This window comes from Homo sapiens, chromosome 13, assembly GCF_000001405.40.
Source record: "Homo sapiens chromosome 13, GRCh38.p14 Primary Assembly".
NCBI lineage: Eukaryota > Metazoa > Chordata > Mammalia > Primates > Hominidae > Homo > Homo sapiens.
The window spans coordinates 48,494,921-48,519,373 of record NC_000013.11 but is presented as its reverse complement, the minus strand read 5'-3'; the positions used below and the strand labels follow the sequence as shown (position 1 = coordinate 48,519,373).

Below are 24,453 nucleotides of genomic sequence, written 5' to 3'. Positions count from 1 at the left end.
GGACGAAATATAAAACTCTGCTTGCAAGGGAAAAATGAAATAGCCGTCAGTCATTGTATCTTTCCATGTGTGCTGTTTGTGGAAGACAACCCACAGTAGGTATTATTGCCTGTTCCTTAAGGAGTCTGAGAATAGCCAAAGCCCTGCAGATGCAAGCAAACACTAGGTCTACCAGCAGTATCACAGTTTATGTAAACTTTTTACTCAACAATCAGATGATATGTGGAAAGAACTCTGGGCTTTAATCTGGCTCATCCACTGAGAAGCTAGTGATCTTGAAAGATTACTTAGTCTCCCTGTGCCCCAGTTTCCTCATAGGTAACATGAGGATAATAATATCTATGTCCTACAATTGTTGTGAAGATCAGAAATAAGATATAAGATATAGACATTATTAGATTATTAACATCTACATTAAATACTTGTTCCACTTCCTAAACCTTGTTCTTTTGGAAATTTACAGACTTAAAATAGGAAAAAAATTAAAAACGAAGGCCTCATAGAAAATAAGATTTCTTCATGATATTGGGTGGTGGGGTAATTTAAAGTAGAAGCTTAACTAAAAGCTAACGTAACAAAATTCCATCCTTAGCTCTATTGTGGCCTTGGGCAAGTTGCTCTTTTTTCAGTAAACCAAGTGTCATAGAGAAGAAATACAAATTTTAAATAAAGATTCTTGGATTCCTCAATTAATGTAACATCACCATAGAACACTGTGTTCCTAAAATTATATATATAATAAAATTGGGGACATAGTTTTACACTTGCATATAACTGGAACTTCTTACATATGTGAGATTTTTTTTTGAATTCCAAATTCCAAATTAAGGTTGTCCTGTAGGAAATGCCTGTGGATTTTCCTACCTCTAAGAGGTAAATATATATATATATATATATATATTTTTTTTTTTTTTTGCAAAGTACTCTGTAATTAAAGTAAATGCAGAAACAGTAAGCACTGTTTCAAAAGTGAATGGGAGAACCAACTGTTGGTGTTGCCCAAAAGATAACAGAAGGTGTCCTTTTTAGGGCAAGGTCTTATGATCCAAGTGGCACGTGAGGGAACATGACTAGATTTGGCATCAGGAGAGCTTAGCCCTGGTACAGGCTCTGCCATTAACTCACAGGGTGATGCTGATAGCAGGGACAAGCTGCTTGTCTTCTCTGTTAGTTTCTTTGTGCTGCTGTAACAAATGACTACAATTCAAACAACAGAAATTTCTTTTCTCACAGTTCTGGAGGCTAGAAGTCTGAAATCAAGGCATCATCAGGGCAATGCTCCCTTGATATCTCTCAGGAAGAATCTTCTCAGCTTCTGGTGGTGGCCCCCAGCAATCCTTGCTGCTCCTTGACTTCCAGATGCATTACTGCAGTCCCTGTGTCTGTTGTCATCTGGCCTTCTTCCCTGTGCATCACTGTGTGCCCTCTCGTCTTCTTTTAAGGAGACTAGTCATTGGACGTAGGGTCCACTCTAATCCAGTATGACTCCATCTTAACTCATTACATCTGCAAAGACCCTATTTCCAAACAAAATCACCTTCTGAGGTTCTAGGTGGATTTGGACTTTGGGGGGAAGCCATTCAACCCACTGCAGCTCCTCTCTGGGGTTTCTTCGGGTTTCTCAGAAAACTATCTTTTGAGCTCTTTTTAGCTACAGCATTCAATAGTGCCATGAAGATTATTCAGAAAAGATAGAAACCTGAAAACAAAGCTTTATTTACAAGAAAAAAGCTGGTGGCTCTGCTTGTTTTTGCTTTAGGTCCAGTGGCCATTGGGACAGCTGCTCCGTGCATCCTAGCTTCCCTTTACTGACTGCAAACTTTACTTTGGATACAAGTTAATACTGTTGGCCGTGATCAGAAGGAAACTTAAAAGTTTGAGGACTTAGTAACAAAGTTGTGTTTGATGATATGGCTCAGGTGAAGTAGAAATGGAGAGCTTGGAGCCGAGAGCAGGGATTTGGGGCCCAGTTTTCGGAATGGCTTCCGTGTGAAGGAGTTACAGAGGATGAGATGGAAAGGAGGGCTGTGAATCTGGAAATGAGTCACAGCCATTCATTTACTTGTTCATTAACCAACACAAAGGTAGGTATTGCATTGTTAGCTCCTTTCAAGGGATGGATGACATGGTGGTGAAAGACTCGGTCTCTGTCCTCCTGAAGTGTACTCAGGAGTCTGTGAAGGTGGCCCCAGAGAAATTCATGGTAATGAGGACAGGGGAGGCTTACTAAGTTAATAGTGTGGACTTGAGAAGAGCAGAGTTGCTGACTTGTGCTCTCCTAAGGTGGAAGGGACAAGTAGGTGTTCAGATCTGTAGAAGGTAAGTGGATAGTCCACTCAGTTATACACCAGACCACATTCCCGGTAAGGTTGATTTAATAACTGATGGGAAAGAGAGGCCTTAGAAAATCTTTGTTGCTTTAAATAATGTGTAAGTTTGTTGATGCTGTGGGAAATAGCAGACATGCCATTTGATAGACATATTGGCTGTTTATGTATCTTATTATAACCTACAAAATGTTGGCAAGTTGAAAAGTATATCAATAAAAATGCCTCCTAAGTAGCAAATAGGTAAAACTCTTTCAAACAAATTTATAACTTCCTCTTATAGGAGTGTGGGTGCTCGTGATCTTAATGTATGCTGTTAGGGGGTTAATTGTGACCCTGCAACATTTATGTGTTGAAGTACAGCCAGTACCTCACAGTGCAACTTATTTGGAAATGGGGTCAATGCAGATGTGGTTAGTTAAGATGAGGTCATTAGGGTGGACCTTAATCCAATATAATTGGTGTCCTTATAAAAAGGGGAAATTTAGATGCAGAGATATGCAGGGCATGGGGGGAGATGATGTGAACAGACATAGGGAGAAGACAGCCATCCACAAGCTGAGAAGCACAGCCTGGAAGAGATCCTTCCCTCACAGCCCTCAGAAGGAGCTAGCTAGCTGATACCTTGAGTTTGGACTTCCAGTTTCCAGAACCATAAGACAGTAAATTTCTGTTGGTTAAGCCACCTCGTTTGTCACTACTTTGTTACGGCTGCCTTAACAAACAAGTACACGTGTTTTCTGGGTGTTAATTCCTGTCAACCCCCAAACTTCCTTGAGGGATGAGGAAACCCACCAATTCCTTAAACTGAAGGCCAAGTAAAGCTTGCCCATGAACTAAAACTTCGGACCATTTCCTTGGTGTCACTTTCAGCGTTGTTCTTTACCAAGCATTGTTCTTGACTTAGAGAGCAGATGACATGGCAGCTCTCTCTCTCTCTCTCTCTCTCTGTCTCTCTTGCTTTTACAACCAGCCTAGTTTCCACAGCTACTTTTAAGACATAGCCAATATTTAAAGTATCTGCTGAACATTCAGTTCCCAGAAGCCCAGCTTTGGATGACTCCTGTGTCCTTGAGGACAATGAGTAGGGGAGACCTGGTTCCATCCGGGCCTCCGCTGCTCGATGGCTGTGAGCCGCCCAAAAGCAGCTGGCAGAGGCAATCCCTGCAGCTGCGAGAGGCCTCTCAAAAATGGATGCAGTGTGTTCCTCCCAAAACCAGTGTTCGCCCTCTTCTACAGAACTGAAGGGGCAGAGAAAATTCACTTTTTAATTTGTCATTTCAACATATATTTTTTCCTTTTCAGCCAGTACAGGCTACTCTGTCATCTTTGAAGATGTTAGATGTGGGAAAGTGGCCAATTTTTTCCCTTTGTTCTGAAGAAGAACTACAGTTAATTCGTCAGGCTTGTGTCTTTGGCAGTGCTGGCAATGAAGTTTTATACACTACAGTAAATGATGAGGTAATTTTGAAGAAAATAAATCAGCTACTCACATTTTTAGAAATGGATTTGCCAAATTGAAGATCTTGGGGGAACTAAGGAATAAAAGGTTAAAAAAAAAAGCATGGAAATTAGGTTTTATTTATTATATAAAGAAGCAGTTTGCTTAAGGAAGATGATTCCTGTTTGGATGTAATTTATAGATTTGTTAGAAATAGAACTGCTTGAACTAACAGTGGTTTTTCCCATAGATTTTTGTGCTTGGCACAAACTGCTGTGGCTGTTTGGGGTTAGGTGACGTCCAGAGCACCATTGAACCTCGGAGACTGGATTCTTTAAATGGCAAAAAAATAGCCTGCCTCAGCTATGGGAGTGGTCCACATATTGTCCTTGCAACAACAGGTAACCTAGGAACCCCATGTAGAATTTCAGCTTTATTCGCAGCTGCCCTTGAGAACATTGTTTAATTGGTTGAGAGTTGCTAGCTCTTCCTGTGAAATTGACTATGTTTTGGATACCATAAAACATGAATGTATCTGAATGCCAGCATAAGGTGATGTGGCAGATGGAATCTAGGAATCATTGGCATTTTAGATGTATGAATGACAACGCTGTAAGCCCAGTAAACACTGACGAACTGATTGTGGACTTTGGCAAGTCTGTCTGAACTTTGGATTCTTGATCTATGAATTGAAAGACTAAACCTTGTGTCCAACATCCCCCCGCCAACTCTTAGCATTCTGTGATTCTTACACTAAAGAGTGACTGATGGCTGTAGTTGGCATTAGTAGTAGGGATTAGCCACTTCATAAGGGATTGACTAGAAAAATTCCTTGCTCTGAGTGAAGCAAGGAGGAAAAAAGGAAGAAAATAAATAAAACTTCTCCCCAAAAGGTTGTAACCATGGATTTGTAGTTTAATTCACATCAAGACTGAACGGTCCAAGAAATCTCAACCCTTGAATTTATTCAAGGTACTGGATGGCAAGTGCCTTAAGGGCATGATAGAAGTTAATGCAGATCCTTTCTAGGGGAAGGCACCTTTATCCTAGGCCTGAGAGAATTAACCAAAATAATTGTTCAGTGGCAATAGGCAGCACATAGTCAGAGATAACCAGATATACAGTAGTCTCCCGTTATCCTTGGTTTTACTTTCTCAAGTTTCAGTTACCTGCAGTTGACTGTGGTCTGAAAGTATAAATGTAAAATTTCCAAAATAAACAATTCATAAGTTTTAAATTGTGTGCCATTCTGAGTAGGGTGATATTTCACCATCTTGCTCCATCCCAGCTGGGACATGAACCATCCCTTTGTCCAGCATCTCTGCCATAGACACTCCCACCCGTTAGTTACTTAGTAGCTGTCTCAGTTATTAGATTGACTCTCTTGGTTTCATAGTGCTTGTGTTCAAGTCACCCTTATTTTACTTAATAATGGCCCCAAAGTGCAAGAGTAGTGATGCTTGCAATTTGGATATGCCAAAGAGAAACCATACGGTTCTTGCTTTAAATGAAAAATGGAGAGTTTCCATGCTGAGGTTGTTAAGATTTATGGTAAGAACAAATCTTCTATCTGTGACATTGTGAACAGTACATTTTGTAATTGTTCTCTTTGATTATTAGTTATTGTTGTTAATCTCTTACTATGCCTAACTTACAAATTAAACTTTATCATAAGTATATACGTATAGGGAAAAACAGTATATACAGGTTCAGTACGAGAGTCTTAGAATGTATCTCCTGCAGATAAGGGGGGCTTGCTATGCAAGGAAACAAGGTACCATGAATGGGAACCAGAAGAAACAACAGACAGCAAGAACGGATTACTAAATATCAGGCATTAAAATTATCAGACACCAATTATAAGACAGCTGTATTTATTATTTGAAGAAATTAAAATGAGCTTGAAAATAATCTGCAGGGATTATAGAAGATTTGAAAAGATCCAAATGAACAATATGATTATCAATATGAAAATTCAGTGGACAAATTTTGTAGCAGTTTGAACACAGCAAATTAGTAAAATTAGTAAACCAGAAGATAAATGAGAAGTCACTATTCAGAATATAACACTAAGAGACAACATGCTGGAAAATACAGATGAAATGAGTACAAACTGTATGATTCCATTTATTTAAATTTCAAAAACAGGAAAAACTAAACATTTGTATGCAAGATGCATATGTGAGGGCCTTTTGGGGGGTGATTATAAGGTTATATTTCTTGACTTAAGTAGTAGTACATGGGTGTGTGCTTTCTAATTTGTAAAACTGTACATATATGTTTTATTAACTTTTCTGTATATTATGCTACCCAATAAATAATAACAAAGATTTTTAAAAATCAACTTGGTGATTATTTTAAAGATAAGGAAATTAAGACCTAGGGGAGTTAAGTGGCCTTCTAATATTTGACTTCATTCTAATGTTTTTGCTATTACTCCCAGCAGCCTTTTCTCTGCTCTTTATTAAAAACTTATTTTCCAGTTATTATAACTGCATGCATTTAAATTTCACCTTGTTGCTTTGAGGTAGAATGCAGTTTATACTTTCCAAATAGATTCTTTTGTAGAATGACTTTGGTGGAATGGGGAAGTTGATTAGCTTTTTGCACCTGAATTTTTAGATTTCATTTGTGGAAGCTGTGCTACATATATTTTCGTATAATGAAGTAGATGTTGTAAAAAACTGATTGTCTTTCTTTTTATTTTCAGAAGGAGAAGTCTTTACCTGGGGTCATAATGCTTATAGCCAGCTGGGCAATGGGACAACTAATCATGGTTTAGTGCCCTGTCATATCTCTACTAATCTGTCAAACAAACAAGTCATTGAAGTTGCCTGTGGGTCTTACCATTCTTTGGTGCTAACATCTGATGGAGAGGTGAGAACAGTCAGCATAAAGCTCATTGATTTTTTTCAATAAGATTATGTAGACTTCTATAGTAGTCCTGGAAATACAATCATTTGATTAAAATAACCACCTCCCTCAAATTCAGCCTTATTTTTGGTAGCAATTCACAGTCAGGGTGTTGATGTTGTGACATTTACCTGTACGTAGTAAGGTCTTCCATAATTGCAAAATTTAAAAGGAGGTATTGTTCCTTCTCTGTTGCTGTAGTAAAGAGGTTATTTGCAATAAGAAAAATCCCCAAATGCTGGAAAAGATGGCTGGGGCAAAGTAGATACTTTTGTGTTACATTTTATTTAATAGTAATTATTACTGTTTGTATAGATAACACCAATAACCTAATTGTATAAAATCATGTACATTGTATAAGAATGCATTTTATAAACACTTCTCTGCCTGTGTTGTGAGGATTTATGAATGTGAAGCACTTTGAGAGGAAAGACTCGGTGCCACAAGTACATGTCAGTGTCCAGTTGAGACAGTTTATAAATTAATCTGTTTCATTTACTGATCTTTCCTTTAAACAGGTATTTGCCTGGGGTTATAATAACTCTGGGCAGGTAGGATCTGGATCAACAGTTAATCAGCCAATCCCTCGAAGAGTCACTGGCTGCCTACAAAATAAAGTAGTTGTGACCATAGCATGTGGGCAGATGTGCTGCATGGCAGTAGTAGACACGGGGGAGGTAAGGAAGTTATTTTACATCTTGTTTAAAAACCGTGTTTGCCACATCAGTCTCATGCCAGTATGGTATGTCCCACATAACAGACAGCTTGCTGGCCATTTGTCTCTTGAGAGGATTGAGGGTCTCATTTTCTCTCAGGTCTATGTCTGGGGTTACAACGGAAACGGGCAGCTTGGACTCGGCAACAGTGGCAACCAGCCAACCCCTTGCAGAGTGGCAGCTTTGCAAGGCATCCGTGTCCAGAGGGTACGTCCACTGTCAGTTTGTGTGCGTGTATTTTTAAGTCTTCGCTGGCAAAGATATCAATGTATTAAAAACATAGATTTGTTGGCAGGATGAAAAGTTTAGCTGCTTGGATGTCTTCATTAAAGTAAAGGTTAAGTCTCTTTTTCCTTGAATTAAATTGCAGCTGTTCAGAAAATTTCTCTTCCAGGGCACTGTCACATACCTTTTGGAATATAAATTGTTACAAGCTTTCCTGAGGAAGCTTAAAAGCTTTTATACCCTTTGACCTGTAGTTCTACTCCTAGGGAATTTCCCTGAGGAACCAACAATTCCTGTAACTGTCTTACAGAATTAGTTAAGAAGATACATATACATATAAAAAGAGGATAACTTTAATAAAAAAAATAGGTGTAACAGAATTTACTAATCAAATCGTAAGTTAATGATTAGATAAATTATGCCAAGTATATATGCTGGAGATGATGTATTGTATACAAAGAATTTTTAATGACATGGAAAACTGCTATGTGTAATGGTAAAATGAAGCAAGATACAGAACTGCTTATACAACATGGTCAGTAAAAAAATGCTATAGGTACATATCTCTATGTCTATATAGAAATAGAAAAAAAATGCCTCTGATATTCAGAGTACTTTTATATTTATATTTTTCTATATTTTTCAAATTGAACATGTTTTACTTTTATAATCAAAAAAGAAAATAATTATTTAAAAAATACAAGTGTCTGTTTCTTACATTCCCCTCATACCCCTTGATTTCTGTGAGTATTAAAGCTCTAGTGAACTGGGGCAGGTGCTCACGCCAGGGTACTCATGGCAATCTTACTGCAATTCTGGCCCACATGTTCTGGAAGGATGTTGGTTAACTTAATGCTTGCCTCTCCTACGGGTAGGCTGCCTCTTCCTTTTTTTTTCATTTTTGATTCTTAACCTACTTTGTGGAAGCAGTGAAATAATTACTTATATTTGCAGTCCTGAGTGGATTTTTTTCCTTCCAGGTCGCCTGTGGCTACGCACACACATTAGTATTAACAGATGAAGGCCAAGTGTATGCTTGGGGCGCCAATTCTTATGGGCAGTTGGGCACTGGCAATAAAAGCAACCAGTCCTATCCTACTCCTGTCACTGTGGAAAAGGACAGGTAACACGGGCATTTTCACAGTCCCCACACTGGTCTTTGGTGATTGTGATTAAACAGGACTTAGATATATAGAGAATGGTGGGGAATGTACTGCTAGTGTTAGAATATTATTTAACAAGAGTATTTATTCCTTTAGAAAAATTGGCTTTGGAATTGTTGGGGAGGTTGATTGTATGTTAAATATGCTATTTTCACTTACCCATGTTTCATCTATACCTCCAACAGCTATTCTAAGCAAACTGCAGTGACTAAACTTGCAACAGCTATTCTGTTACTCTTCTGCCTTACAAATCACCCTTTTGCCCTCCTCCTTTTCCTGTTTTACATTCTTAAGGGGGTGTCAATAACATTCAAGGTCGCTCTTCCCTGGCTTAGGAAAAGGTACCTTGCATGGGGTATAAAGCTGGTCACTCAGCTACATGGAAATTTGCCAGTTGAGAAGGATAGGGTTATTTCATTACTTTAACTCCCAAGCTGTCACTACGAGGAAGAGTAAAATGGTTAGGAAATTAAGATTTACTTTTGTGCACTTGTTTGCAAGGTTGTGTTATGTAATTAGCACATCCAGAATTAGTTTCCACGTTATTCTGATATTTTTGAAAGCCTTTGGAATTTCTCAAGCATGGTCAGATCACTGCCTTTCCACTTTTCATTTCCTGATAGTAGTGTAGAGCAAAAACGTTTCACTATCTTTTCTTTTAAACCAGGGTTGCAGTCATTGTAGAAATGAATGCTGCTGTTTTTACTGCATATATCTTTATTATATTTAATTTTAAAAGAAATATGTAGACAAACAGATTAGCTCACATTTATATGCAGTTCTTTTCTAATTTTCTGCTGGAATACTTAACAATGAAAATGAAGAACCAAATTGTCATTTTTCAACTGCCTCAGTTTTCATTTGGGTATTGTGAACTTGGCTGACTTTCTTTAACCTATGTTTTAAAAGTTTTATTTAACCAATTTAACATAGGTTAATTTTATAGGTTAAATAAAACTTTTTTCTCCAAAAACCTTAAAATTTAAGACCCCTGGCCCCTTCAGAATTGGGAGGAGGGACAATAATGGAGGCAGGAGGTGGTGCAGGTAGATGCCTGCAGCTGTTCATTCACACATCTTGTAGCTTAGAGCTCCTCAGAAGAGAAGGGACAGTCCTGAGGCTTTGAATAACCACAAAAGTGCCTCAGTTGGTAGGGACACTTAACATTTAAACTGAAAAACAGAGTTAAAGGATCAAATAAAGATGGCATGGAAATAAAAACGATGGATTTGTATGGCCTGTTATTTTTTTATTTTTATTTTTTGAGACACAGTCTCCCTGTCTTCCAGGTTGGGGTGCAGTGGTGCAATCACGGCTCACTGTAGTCTTGACTTCCCAAGCTCAGGCGATCCTCCCACCTTAGCCTCTGGAGTAGCTGGGACTACAGGAGCATGCCACCATACCTAGCTAATTTTTGTGTTTTTTGCAGGGCCAGGGTTTTGCCACATTGCCCAGGCTGGTAGCTCCTGGGCTCAAGTGATCCTCTTATCTCGGTCTCCCAAAGTGCTGGGATTACAGGTATGAGCCACTGCGCCTGGCCTGGCCCATTACTTTTTATGGTGCTCCTACACTTACCCAGAACTTTAGCACATCCATCCCTGGTCTCACAGAATCTGCCGTCATTGCCCACCAGTGACTTGCTGCATTGCACTGCTGGTCCCTGATCCAGAATGATCACCCAAGGCTTCTGATTCAGGTTCTCACTGGGGCAGATGGATTGTGGGGCGTCAAGGTGGGAGAAAGAAAAAGTAGCAGAGAAGCAGGTAATGGGAATGGAAGCTGTGTGAGTGCCAAGTTGCTTAACTGGACATTGGGAGTTATCTATTGCATTTCTGTCTTCTTAAACTGCAGTTATTTTTGAATTATAATTTGGTTATAAAAATCATGGATGGGCCAGGCACTCACGCCTGTAATCCCAGCACTTTGGGAGGCCAAGGCGGGCGGATCACCTGAGGTCAGGAGTTTGAGACCAGCCTGGCCAACATGGTGAAACCCTGTCTCTACTAAAAATATAAAAATTAGCTGGGCACAGTGGCACATGCCTGTAATCCCAGTTACTTGGGAGGCTGAGGCACGAGAATCCCTTGACCCCAGGAAGTGGAGGTTGCAGTGAGATCGCGACACTGCACTCTAGCCTGGGCAGTAGAGTGAGACTCTGTCTCAAAAAAAAAAAAAACATGGATGAATGTTTTAAATGAGATGTTCCTGATTTTCTGTTTTCCGTACTTGAATTTCAAGTGGTGGTTTCTGAACTTGCACAGTTTCAACCAGGCACTCAATCACGGGCGTATTCCGAGGGAGGGGTTTATAGGTCTGTGCTGGGACTTGTTCTGCACTTCTCCACCCTTTCCAGGGATGGGAAAGTCAAGTATATGTCATAACTTATCCCTGGGGAACCCCGGAGCCTTACTTCTGACTCTTCTGCGGCCCATTGCAGGAAAGCCTGACTAATTAGGAACTGGATTGAATGTGGGGTGGGGTGGGTTTCAGTTCTTAGTTACCTGTTCACAGAAGTGGGAAGGAGAAATCTGTCTACATTGTTTTCTTTGCTGGAGCAACCATCCAAGGGAAACCTTTTAAAATCTTTCCCAGAAAAAGATTTTATTTATGATGGAGAATACTGATATTTGTCAGCAATTTATGTTTACATAAAAATAAGTTTAATGATTAAAATGATTGTCTTCTCCTAATCCAGTCATCCAATCTTTCTGAAGTTTCAGTACCTTGGGGACAGATTGACCAACATTTGTATCTTTGTTCTTAACGTTCCCTAACGGCATATTTTAAACTAAACTGATGTGAAGCTAACTTTTCCTTGAATTTCTGAGAATTCTTTGACTTCTGAGGTAGTTGGTATAATACTTGGGCTCTTACAAAACCAGGATTGGGAATCCCTGCTGTGGATCTGTCATCTTTGCTGTTTCTTCTCCAATATTCTTCTCCCTCACAGATGACCTTTCACCCCCCTCAAGGTTTTCCAGTTTCTATTCTTTCTCACTCTCTGCTTTTTCATTTCTAGTACTTCATAGCCAATAAGCTCAGCAGTTGTTGTTGATCATTCCCTCAAGGTGACACAAAACCTGTTTATTATCAACATGTAGTGATTTTTTTTCCCATTAAGATTGGCTACAAAATAAAAGTGTGAAATACGCCAGACATCCTGACAGTAAAGGTTAGCTCAGTTGATAGTCATTGTCTGTCGCATGTCTGGCTGGAAAATTGGAACGTCGGTGTTTGCTGCTTGGTGTGAGTCCAGTTTAAAAACCAACGATGACCTTAGGCAATGGCAGGATTCCTTAGCGGTTGCTTGGGTCACAAGCCTAGACCTGAAAGTACCCTCTAAACTTTCTGCATTCTCATTCCTGTAGCAGCTACTGCAGCCAACCAAATCCGCGCCCCACCCCTGACTTCCCATGTGGAGCCGGGTGTGCCAGGTATATGTCACAAGGCCATGCCCCGGGACGGGCAGCATCACATGGCCTTCCCTGACCCACCCTTTGGCTCTGTCTGTCCCAGCCCTTCTCTAGAGAGTAGTGTCCCACTTCAGGTCACCAGCTGCTCTAGGGGCAGAGGCTACCCTCTTTCATGGATGCTAATAACAAAGAACAAACATCTCAGAAGGGAACATAAGAACCGCATTATTTGGCTTTTCTGATGTTGGGCAGATCAGTGAAGGATGCTGTTGTGCTCCAGTCACTGACATTTTTCATAGAACATTACCCCAAAGGACACAGAAATGATTCCAAAAAATGTAGAAGTCTTTGCCTAGTAGGTCACTGCAAAGTGCTAAAATCTGAAGAAAGGAAGAGCAGTTCATAAATGCTTATCTTCACATTGTTCATTGGGCTGCCCTAACCTCCCCTGCTCCCAGAGAATGCCAGATGGCTTTACAATTGAGGTGGTTCAAACACAGAAGGCCCTTTTTCCTTTTATTAATTGCTCAGCTATGTGTACATTGGCCCCCACACCTGCCACCTGACCAGCGCGGCTTCTGCCTCCCTCAGCACTGCCAGCCGGGGGTTTTCTTAGACTCATCCCCTGGGCCACCTTCCGCTCCTCTCCCTCCCTCTGCATTAACATCCAGGCCACCCTCATTACTCCTTGGCAACCTAGCTTGGGTTGGCCTCCCCAGCCAGCCTTCCAGACTATTCTTTCTCTCCCTTGCAGCCTGTCTTGCACACCACTGTGGCCAGGTCAGTCTTTCTGAGAATACCATTTCCTCACATCATGGCCCTGTTTACAAAGCAGTTTCCCATTTGCCTATCACATCAGATCAAATCAGAACTCTTCGGCTCTGGATTGAAGCCGACGCCACTGTTCCTGGCAAGCCTCATTGCCCTCCGATCCCGGCGTTGGCCTCCGTCCCTGTCAGGTCTTGTACGATGCTGCTCTCTGCCATCCTGCCGTCTCCAGCTCTGCCTGCATGTTGGTCCTGCATTGCTCTCCACCTCACAGACTCTTATTCCACGGCTCTGGCCAGTCCAAAGCATACATGGCCCAGTTAGTTCCCTTTTACTTGAAATATTCCCTGAGGAGCCCCCAGGTATTTTTCCTTACTCACTGGAGACTTGTAGTCAGGGCCACACTGATGTCATTTGGGAATTATTTGCAAAGTCACAGATCTGGACTTCTCTCTCCAGCTAAATCATGAGTTCCTCAGCTAAATCACGGGCCCACAGTTCTGCAGCAGCTGGTAAACACTTTTAGTCACGGAAGGAAGCCTTTTTCGGTTCTCAGCTCTGCCAAGGAACTTATTTCACGTACACAAAACCACAAACCGTGAGAGGATTGCTGCCTGTATCCTGTTCCCCCTCATCTTTTTTTTTCTTTGAAAAGATGGTAAAGCTGATTATAAGAATTTAAATAACGTGGCCCTAGAACTACACTCTGACTCTGATCCGCGTGTCCTGCCCACAGCACCAGGCCACGAAGACAGACCATGTCGCTATCCTCACATTTGCTTGTAACTTAGGAGGCTTGCCAGTAAAATCGATACTAACAGTGGACGTACTTCTCTTTGAATAAGTTTATTCTATTTCCTTCTCCCATTTTCTTTATTTGTTGAAAAGAATGATGCTGATTGAGAAGCCAAATATTGTTAACCATTTTCCCCGTCTGGCACGGTTCTTTTGCACAGCACTGGATTAGGCCAGGGGACTGGCCTAACCCTGCAAATATCAGGAAAGGACTCTTCTAGGGAAAGTCGTACTAATTTGAATTGATCACTAGAAATACATGGTCTCCACCTAAAAGATGCTTTGTCACTTAAAAGGCTGAGTAGTCATCATAATGTAAAGAAACCTCTATTGTCATGCAACCATTTGCACCCAGACATTGTGCCTGGTTGGCACTTAACATTTTATCACTTGATTCTCACACCACCCTTGCAATGTGATGAAACCAAGGCTCCTAGGTGCTAAGTGACATTCCCCTAGTCACGCAGCCTAGTGCTAGTCACGCAGCCTAGTGGTAGAGCGAGGATTCAAACCCAGTTTTTGTTTTCCTTTGAGCTGGAGCTGCAAGAAAAAAAAAAAAAAAGAAAGAAATAAAAAACAAACCTAGGTTTGACTCCAAATCCTGAGCTCTCCACTGTGGGCCATCGTAGCCTTTTTTTCCTCTAGTATTTTTGGGTGGTTTTCAAGGGCTAAGAACGATCCTCATAATAAGTCAGTGAGATTACCGCACATGAGAACAGCATGTCTCAGCCTCTGAGGCGAGCCGGTACAAGCTCCAGGTTCTGTGATAACACCTCCCTCCTGGTTTGAGAGCAACTGCCTAAAGGAGGCAGTGGAGGATCATCCTCACCCTTCAGGTGCTAGCCCGTGTCAGTGGGGTCTTACACAACCTTTGCTCTGTGTTGTTGAGTCTTCCTCAGTCAGTAAAGTGACCCATAGATTATATTCAGTAAGACACCACGTTATGTGCTTAGAGAGAATTAAGCCAGTGATTAGGCCTGCCAGAAACTGGTCATCTCGCTGAACAGGTGAAACGGATGCATAAAGTAACAGGGCCAGGCTGGAATGGTGTGGACAGGAAGTGCTGCAGGAGCTCAGGTGAGCGGGAGACCTCAAACTTGGGGCAGTTTGAACTGGGCCTTACAAGATGGGTAGGGTTTGTAAGGCAGAGAGAAAGAACATTCCTGAACAACCATGTATGAAGTCATTGAAGGTCAATGAGAAAGCCTGTTTGTTGAAACAGGGTGTGTGGACAAAATTGACTTGTGAGATGTCTGTACAGAGGTGACGCCAAATCATGGATGGAGTTATGTCTTGTGTCAGGATTTTATCTGAGAGAAGCCACTGCCCGTGTGAAAGTTCTGATGAGAACGGTGTTCCAAGAGGATGATTAACCTGCCAGCACTGTGTGAGTTGGGGCAGAAGAGAGAGTCTAAGGCAAGGGAGACCTGGGAGGCTGTTACAGGGGCCAGATGTGGGGTGTACCTGACCCCCCAGTGGTGGCTGAGGGGAGACATTACAAAGAAAGCATCTTTGTTATTTAACTGGATATTCTAAAGAAAGTGGTAAATGAGGAGGGAGAAGTCAAAGATGACCCTGAAGTTCTGAGCCTAAGTCTCTGAGGATGCTGGTACCATTGTCTGCTGTAGCAAAATCAAGATGGGGACTTCCCCTGGGTTAAAAGAGTTTACCATTTTCCTTCAATCTGTATGGTGGCTTATTCTGATGGAAAAGAAATTACTTCCAGATCAACAAGACAATGTTTTCCATTAAGAAGTGTTCTGAGGCCGGGTGCAGTGTCTCACACCTGTAATCCCAGCACTCTGGGAGGCCAAGGTGGGCGGATCATTTGAGCTCTGGAGTTCAAGACCAACCTGGGCAACATGGCAAAACCTTGTCTCTACAAAAAATACAAAAGTTAGTCAGGTGTGGTGGCTTGCACCTGTAGTCCCAGCTACTACAGAGGCTGAGGTAGGAGGATCGCTTGAGCCTGGGAAGCAGAGGTTGCAGTGAGCCAAGATCCAAGATTGTGCCACTGCACTCTAGCCTGGGTGACAAGGCAAGACTCCTCTGTCTTAAAAAAAAAAAATTGTTCTGAGAATTACCTCCTCATCAATCGTGAACTTAGAGCAGTAGGGCATATCACATAGTGATCCTAGGAAACTGCTCTCCTGGGCTCCAGGTCATACAGCCCAGTGTGGTAGAACTACTGAATTTACTCTGTGCAATAGGAGTTGGAATGACCCATAGCATTCTAAAAATTGGTGAAGTCTTCATTAAAATATTTATTTATTGGCCCTCAGTCCAGATGACCCAAATCTTTATTATTTTCTTCAGTAAGTGATGTTTTAGGGGGAAAAATTTTAAACCACCCTTTTTTGGTAGGGGGGACCACTACTCTCTTGGGTTATACTTGAATTTCAAAACAGGATGGTGCATATTTTTATAGGCCTACTGGCTAGAAGTGGTACAAACAGATCTTCATGAGTTATAAGTGCCATTGAAGTGTGGCTTAAATGTAAATAACGGTTTGGTGCCTGATAATTTAGGAGATGAGGTGTATGAGTCATGTGGTGGTTTGTTTTGTTTTGTTTTTTCCTTTTCCTGACCCTTTTTGTAATTTTATGATGTCCCACATCAGTTAAACCTGGCGGGAGGAGGACCCAACTTGTTTCTGCCCCGGTCACTGTGCTTATGTGGTGTGTGTTTGTGAATTTAGGATTATCGAGATTGCAGCCTGTCACTCCACACACACGTCTGCGGCCAAGACGCAGGGTGGGCACGTGTACATGTGGGGCCAGTGCCGGGGTCAGTCCGTGATCCTCCCGCACCTCACCCACTTCTCCTGCACTGACGACGTGTTTGCCTGCTTTGCCACGCCCGCCGTCACGTGGCGCCTCCTCTCCGTGGGTAAGCTGGTCACTGTCCATTTGGGGGATGGCCTGAAAATCTGGGAAAGAGCTCAGGGCTTTACTTTGATAATGAGGATTTTGTTAGGTGCACTATCATAATTTATTTCTCTCTGATGGGCTTCTACAAAAGGGAACTAATTTTATTTTCTTCAGAGCATCAGAAATCAACACCAGTACTAAACTAAAAGTAATTTTATTTGACTACTTTTTTTTTTTTCTTTAAGAGAGAAAGATGAGGTCTTGCTCTGTTGCCCAGGCTGGAGTGCGGTGGTGCAATCATAACTCGCTGTACCCTTCAGCCCCTGGGTTCAAGCGATCCTTTTGCCTTAGCCTATTGAGTAGCTGGGACTATACATACCCATTACCATGCCTGGCTAATTTAAAGAAACTTTCTTTGGAGGTGGGGTCTCTCTGTGTTGCCCAGGCTGGTCTTAAACCGTGGGCCTCAGACCATCTTTCTGTCTCTGCCCCTGCCAAAGTGTTGGGATCACAGGTGTGAGCCATTGTGCCCTATCCTTATTTGAGTGCTTTTTAATTTTACTGAGAAACTGTTTTTTACTTTTAACTAGCGTATTTACTCAAATGTTTAAAATTTCATGCAAAATTAGTGATGTGGCTTGGGACTTTTTCTTGTTATTTTGCCAGATTTATAAGCAGATATTTGTGAGATTCTTATTCTTAATGATTACAGAGATGCAAATCTGTCTTCAGGGGAAAAAATCCATTGCTCAGTTGCTCAGTTATTTTGAGGAATTGGTACTTTCATGAGTACCAGTAGAGTAGTGCCATATCCTGTCCTGTGTGTTCATTATGTCTGTAGCTAACTCTGGAAGCATTTGCATTATTCTCCTAGAACCTGATGACCACCTCACAGTGGCTGAGTCACTGAAGAGGGAATTTGACAACCCGGACACTGCAGACCTGAAGTTTCTAGTTGATGGAAAGTACATTTATGCACATAAAGTCCTTCTCAAGATTCGGTAAGGAATCATTTATTTGAGAATTGAGAAAAGTAATTCGTTCAACAATTATATTCTAAGTGTCCAACTATATTAGGCACCTCAGTAATCAAGAAAAATTGTAAGGCTGTTTTTGCTCTTACAAGCATACAGTGGAGCGGGGAGAAATATACATGAAACAAGAAATAACACAGGTTGTGTGGTTCCGGGAACCAGTACCATAGGCGTTCCTTAGGCTTGAAAAGTGGCGTGGTCACCTTGGCAGCAGGGAGCAGCCAGCGCACGCTCCAAGTGTGTCCTGTGCTCTGAACACTGTATTGATACTTGGACGTCCATCAGTTACCGTTTCTGCCTGGGAATCAAGCTCAGCTCTTAATAATCACCTTCTTATAATCACTTGTGGCGTACTTTTAGATGGTTTAAGAAAGAGAAGATCAAGGCCTTTCCAGACCAAAAAGGTCTATAGTGAGGCTAGCACAGAGATTTTAAAAAATCACATTTGTGAATGTTTTTGAGCAATGAGCTGTGTGCATTTCAAATGTGCAGTTTGATGAGTGCTGACACATGTCTACGCCTGTGAAACCACTGCCCCACATCCAGACAGAGAACATTCCCATCACCCTTCAAAGACCCCTCATGTCCTAGCCCTGGGTGACCGCAGCTCCTTCTGTCACTGTAGCTGAGTTAGCATTTTCTAGAGTGTATTTAGATGGGATGATACAGGATGCATTCATTTGTGCTTGGCTTCTTTCTTTTACATGATGATTTTGAAATTCATTATGTTGTTGTGTAACAGATATTTAAATCCTACTGCAGTGAGTCACACACTCAACACAGCATTTTAGTCTCAAGTTCCTCTTTAGTAAGATCAAGCTGTGCAGCGTTTGCTCACTCTCTCTATATCACATCAACCTGCATGAAAGAAGGGGGGTGGATTTGTTTGCTGTAACACAGTACTATGGCCCGGGTGGCTTAAGCAACATAAAGTTCTGGAGGCTGGAAATCCCAGATCAAAAGTGTCACCTGGATGGGTTTCTTGTGAGGCTGTGAGTGAGAATCTGTTCCTGCCTCTTTCCTAGCTGCTGGGGATTTGCAGACAGTCTTTGGCCTTCCTTGGCATGTGGCTGCTTAACTCCAGTCAGCATGTGGCATTCTCCCTTTGTGCATGTCTGTGTCCAAATTTCCCCCCACCTTATTTTTTTTAGATGGCAGAGTCTTTCTCTATTGCCCAGGCTGGAGTGCAGTGGCCTGATCTCGGCTCACTGCAACCTCCTCCTCCCAGGTTCAAGTGATTCTCCTGCCTCAGCCTCCTGAGTAGCTGGGATTACAGGCGCACACCACCATGCCTGGCTAATTTTTGTATTTTTAGTAGAGATGGGGTTTCACCATATTGGCCAGGCTGGTCTCAAACTCCTGACCTCGTGATCCACCCGCCTCGGCCTTCCAAAGTGCTGGGATTACAGGCGTGAGCCACCGCGCCCTGTCCAAATTTCCCCTTTTTATAAAGATGCCAGTCATATTGGATTAGGGCCCACCCTAGTGACCTTCTTATAACTTGATTACCTCTTTAAAGGCTCTCTTTCCTAGTAAGGTCACATTTTGAGGTATTGGCCATTAGGACTTCAACACAGGAATTTTTAGAGGACATCATTCAACCCGTAATGGAGTGAGGAAACAGAATTACTTAGATTTTATAAAAATAAACCCACTGATTTCTCTAAATGCTGACAGTGGTTGTGGTGTGAGAGAGATGCCAGGGAGCCCAGCTCTGTCCCCATTAGCACGGCCATTGGGGCTGCTTCCCAGGCCACCCCTGGCAGCAGGTTTGTATATACAGCCTTGCTGAATAGATGATTGTTTGAAAACCCTGGCCAGCAAAGAAAGTGAGGAGCCACAGCAGGGACGTGCCAGCGTGCACCTTCGAGAGAAGAACGTGGTCCTCACAGAGGCCATCTGTCCTGGCTGGGAAGCTAGGACCTGACATACTGCTTTTTTCCTTCAGATGTGAGCATTTTCGTTCGTCATTGGAAGATAACGAGGATGATATTGTAGAAATGAGTGAATTTTCATATCCTGTTTACCGGGCCTTCCTGGAATACCTATACACAGACAGCATCAGCCTTTCTCCTGAGGAGGCAGTAGGTAATTGCCAAAGACTTCCAAAAACTTGGCAAAATGTTGAGGAACTGACAAGGTGGTTTCTATAGAACCTAAAAGAAAGTCACTGTGAGGGTAATTACAGAAGTATTTCTTTTTGTGTGTGTTGAATCCAAACACGTTTCCCTTGTTACTACTTTATTACAAAGGTTGACTGGACAGATAAGAGAGAGAAGAATCAAATCATCACCACCGTGGAGCATTGCAGGCAGCAGCATGGAGGAAGGGACAGAGACTGAGGGCCATGCAGCAGATCCCCGTGTCTCCACCAGCAGGGCCCAGGAATTCCACTTATTTCAGACTGTGGGCCTGAGTCAGTCAAGTCTGTGCCCAGTGGCTTAGGAGGCTGGGAAAATGGGCATTTCCAGAGGGCCGTAGCTTGGCTAAAAATTCTGTGGTTTCAGTAGAAAGGAAGAATGGATGTGTGTGTGTGTGTGAGAGAGAGAGAGAGAGAGAGAGAGAGTGTGTGTGTGTGTGTGTGTGTGTGTGTGTGTTGGGGTGGGGGTCGGGAGAGAGGCAACTAGCAGCTTCTGCCACAGGAGAGATGTGATCTGTGTTTAAAACATCAGTTATTATATTGGTTCAGGTGTGAGATGATGGTCTCCTGGGTTGGGGTTGTATAGCAGTGGAAGTATTGAAAAGAGATCAGATTCTAGATATATTTTAAAGAGGTTGCTGATGGGATTTGTTGATAGATGGGATGAGAGGTGTGAGTTGAGAGAGAAGGATGGCTGCACTGAGGTACTTGGCCTGGGTAGCTGCCTTAATGGCACTGAGGTGAGGAAGATAGAGAACAACAGGCTTGCTCTGGACTTTGAAAGTCAAAGGAGTTTGAGCTTCCCATTAGATACCCAAGTGATAATTTTTTTTTTTTTGAGACAGAGTTTCACTCTTGTTGCCCAGGCTGGAGTGCAATGGCACGATCTCCGCTCACCACAACCTCCGCCTCCCGGTTTCAAGCGATTCTCCTGCCTCAGCCTCTCGAGTAGCTGGGATTACAGGCATGCACCACCACGCCTGGCTAATTTTGTATTTTTAGTAGAAACGAGGTTTCTCCGTGTTGGTCAGGCTGGTCTTGAACTCCCGACCTCAGGTGATCCGCCCATCTTGGCCTCCCAAAGTGCTGGGATTACAGGCGTGAGCCACTGCGCCCGGCCGCGAGTGGCAGTTTTTTATCGGCCCACCACTAACATTTGTGGGGCTGTAGCCAAGACTCCAAATGGAGACCTATGTTCCATATGTCTAAAAACTTAAAGTTATATGTCAAGCTAGTGAACTTCAGATAAAAATATGTCCAATCCTCCCACCTTGAAAAATGTAATTTCATTAAGAACTGAAAGGACAGGTTTCAATTTTAGTTGACATTTAGAGTTGCAGGACTTCTTGTGCCAGAACCCAATGGCACAGGCAGGACAGACCCCTCCTCCAGCAGAAGGGTGTGTGGGCACCCTAGCTTGCATTCCAAGCTCTATCCACCCCCAACCCAGGTTACCCTTTTGGGCCAGGGGGTCTGCACATTGGTGGTGGGGTCTAAGGGAGGAAATACCCACACATGTGGCCTCAAGGCCAATTATGCAGGCAGTCCCAGGTTCCCAGGTACCCAAAGTGTGGTCTAGAAGTGGGCATGTGGCTCCTTAGCCACCCTGTGCTGAAGGTGTGCGTGGAGGAGGCGCAGAGCTGGGGCTTGGGGCAGAGTCCTCTCTTAGGGCAGTGCAGCTTGCATGTGTGTCTGAAGCTTGGGGCCAAAAACAATGAAGCCATTCACAACTCAAGATTTCAGTGTCCTCCAGTGGGCTATCTGTCTTTCCTCTATAACTTTGATAATATTTGTTATTAAAAAAGCAAGTTTCCAACCAAAGTCTACCACATGTATAAGATTTATTAGCAGATAGACACAAAAACAATTAATATGGTAAAATTGATGAAATCCCTGCTCTTTATACTTCGTACACTCTATTAAGTACCTTGCATGAAAAGTTAGCTTGAGGTGGACATGACAGTGTTCTAGTAGCCGGATTCAGCTAGCCTTTTGATCCTGGCTACCACTCATTTCAGCAATGACAAACTAATTCTGACATTCTTTATGCTAATTACAAATCCTGTAATGAAGATTCAGAAAAACAAATAGGATCTTTCAGATGCTGATTGACTGCTTCAATTAGAGTACTTCCTATCATTCCTTGGGGTAGATTAAAATTAATTTACATATGTCACCTCACCCAGTCTACGTTGAATTACTTGAAAATAGGTGACAGGTAATATAACAGGACTCACCTGCATATATAGATGATATTTAAAACCCTGGGGCTGGGGTTTTGGGAAGTAAGTGAGGAAAGTGTCTGAGGATTTAACCCTGGGGCACTCAAACATTTGGAAGTCAGGAAAAATGATCCAGCCTAGAGAACTGAGGAGCAACTAATTAAAGAGAAGAAAAATGCAAGCAAGTGACAAAGTGTCCTAAGGAGAGCATTATCAACCATATCAAATTCTGTGTAAATGTCGAGTAAGAGGAAACCAGAGAATATTGCACCCTCAAAGCCACTGTGACTGCCACAGGTGTGACCACCAAGGGTGTGACTGCAGTAGTGGTGGGGATGGGGTTCTGCTTGTAATGGCTTGAGGTCAGAATGGGAGGTGGGAAAATGGAGACAGCAGATACAGATAGCTCTGTCTAGGAGTTTTGCTGTAGAGAGGAGCAGTGGGATAGGGTAACAGGAGGAAGACACGTGTCCATGAAAGGGTCTCCCCTCCCCTCCTCTCCCCTCTCCTCCTCTCCCCTCCCCTCCTCTCCCCTCCCCTCCTCTCCCCTCCCCTCTTCTCTTCTCCCCTCCCTTCCCCTCCCCTCCCTCTCCTGTCCTCTCTTCTTTTCTTCTCTTTTGTTTTCTTTTCTTCTTTTCTTTTCTTTCTTTTCACGGCGGGCACTCTTACAGCATGTGTGTGTGCTCCTGGGAGTGGCCCAGGAGAAGCTGACATTGAGATTGCAGGGGAAGGGGTCATTCAAGGCGCACATGCTTTTTTCCTAGGAAAAAAATATTAAAGCTATTTTCCCTGTGCTCCTGTTTTTCAACAGCTAATGATTTGTGTATCATGTTTGCTCAGCTTGGCTGCCATCCTGGGTAGAGCCCCACACTGAAGTGTAAGTGTCAGTCAGCATCAGTCTATGCAGTGCTTCACTGAGGATTATATCTAAAATAGTGTCAAAATCATCTCTGAGTGGCTGAGTGAGCAACTGTAAATCAGGATGCTTGAAATCACTCCCCCTAATAAACACCTCTTTCCGCCAGGACTGCTAGACTTGGCTACATTTTATAGAGAAAATCGTTTGAAAAAGCTCTGCCAACAAACTATCAAGCAAGGCATCTGCGAGGAGAATGCCATCGCTCTGCTCTCGGCTGCGGTGAAGTATGATGCACAGGTAAGGAAAGCTTGCTTCCAGCTGCCGGCCTCCTGGAGAAATGGAACCCAGGTGTCTGCCTCGTACCTTAAACTAAAAGAAAGTCTGGGTAGAGGAAATATTTAATATTTTTTAAAAAATGAAGTAACAAGAGTACTAGACAACGTATAAGCAAGTATTTATATAATGTTGGGATGGACATCAAAGGCAGAAGCCATAAAGGATTTATAGCTCTGATTTAAAAAGATAAGAAACTTTTATCCACTTAAAAATACCATAGAGAAACTTACAAAGTAATGAGACACTGGGAAAAATACTTGCAACATATAATGAAGTCTGTTTACCAGAGTGAAAAACAAAAAGACAATAGGAACAGTTTGGTTGAAAGAAATGGACCAAAGAACAAATGGCTCTATAAATAGACAAAAAACATAAATGAAAACAAGGTATAACTTTTCACCTGTCAAAGCAGGAATATATTTTTAGAGATAATGTATAGGATCAGAATAATGGTGTTCTCCTAAACTGCTGATGAGAGTACAAATTGGTATGGAGAACAATTTGGTATAATATGTATTAAGCACCTTAAATTAAAGACATAATTCTTCAAGGAATTCACTCACAAGTATTTATCTTGAGGAATTAATCATGGATTTGCACAAAGACTTAGCTTCAAAGGTGTTTACTTCAGCAGTTTATAATTTTGAAAAATCAGAAAAAGGTTAGTGTGAATAGTGGAGGCTTGTTTATAAAATGTTAATATCAAGAAATTATGCAGCTATTCAAGATATATCACTAAGTGAAAAACTTATCCTATTTTTATTTTTTGAAAAAGTATAAATAGCTGAATAAAAAACTAAAATTCATTATCTACATAGAAAAAAAGACTGAAAACTATGCTTAGTGGTTATCATTGAATGGTGGGATTGTGGGTGATTTTTATTTTCTTCTCTTTGCTTATTTTTTTTTAACTTTTACAGTGACCATGTATTGTTATGATAATAAAGAAAGGAAAGAAAACCAATCTTAGAACCAAATCTTTAGGAAACAGGCTGTAACATCTTCGAGTCAGTTTCCTTTTGGTATAAGGATATCCTCTCCTTTGGTCAAAGAAAACAGAGACATTTTAGTAGATGAAAGGTTATAACTTTTTTTCTGTTTACATAAATAATACTATGCTTATTAAAGAAAATTTGTAAAAGACAAAAAGTGAGGAAGGTAATGACTCATCAACCAGAGAACATTAGCACTTTCATATAACAGCTTCTGAGTTTTTGTTTTATGTCACATT

General features: G+C 41.9%; 2 protein-coding genes across 19 annotated transcripts in view, besides 2 other annotated features; both read left to right on the top strand.

Annotated features, from left to right (window-relative positions):
• The window catches only part of RCBTB2 (RCC1 and BTB domain containing protein 2), a 46,933-nt gene that overhangs the window by 16,522 nt on the left and 5,958 nt on the right, over positions 1-24,453 (top strand). For 8 of the 18 annotated variants that reach the window (NM_001352429.2, NM_001286831.2, XM_011534894.4 and 5 more), the window contains 10 exons: positions 3,633-3,788; positions 4,019-4,169; positions 6,479-6,645; positions 7,200-7,358; positions 7,497-7,604; positions 8,603-8,745; positions 16,460-16,650; positions 17,506-17,632; positions 19,614-19,753; positions 23,053-23,183. In NM_001352429.2, the coding sequence (NP_001339358.1) occupies positions 3,633-3,788; positions 4,019-4,169; positions 6,479-6,645; positions 7,200-7,358; positions 7,497-7,604; positions 8,603-8,745; positions 16,460-16,650; positions 17,506-17,632; positions 19,614-19,753; positions 23,053-23,183 (1,473 nt within the window). The other 10 variants (NM_001352428.2, NM_001352427.2, NM_001352430.2 and 7 more) reach the window with 8 other exon arrangements.
• LOC124903173 (uncharacterized) lies at positions 12,568-14,990 on the top strand. Its single transcript, XM_047430824.1, has one exon. The coding sequence runs from the start codon at positions 12,667-12,669 to the stop codon at positions 13,288-13,290; it is 624 nt and encodes a 207-aa protein (XP_047286780.1). The 5' UTR covers positions 12,568-12,666; the 3' UTR covers positions 13,291-14,990.
• Positions 13,598-13,867: an enhancer, noted in NCBI's record as "active region_7731". NCBI's record gives its function as "activates an Ori minimal core promoter by ATAC-STARR-seq in GM12878 lymphoblastoid cells {active_cell/tissue: GM12878}" and the evidence as "EXISTENCE:reporter gene assay evidence [ECO:0000049][PMID:35858748]".
• Positions 18,452-18,611: a silencer, noted in NCBI's record as "silent region_5334". NCBI's record gives its function as "represses an Ori minimal core promoter by ATAC-STARR-seq in GM12878 lymphoblastoid cells {active_cell/tissue: GM12878}" and the evidence as "EXISTENCE:reporter gene assay evidence [ECO:0000049][PMID:35858748]".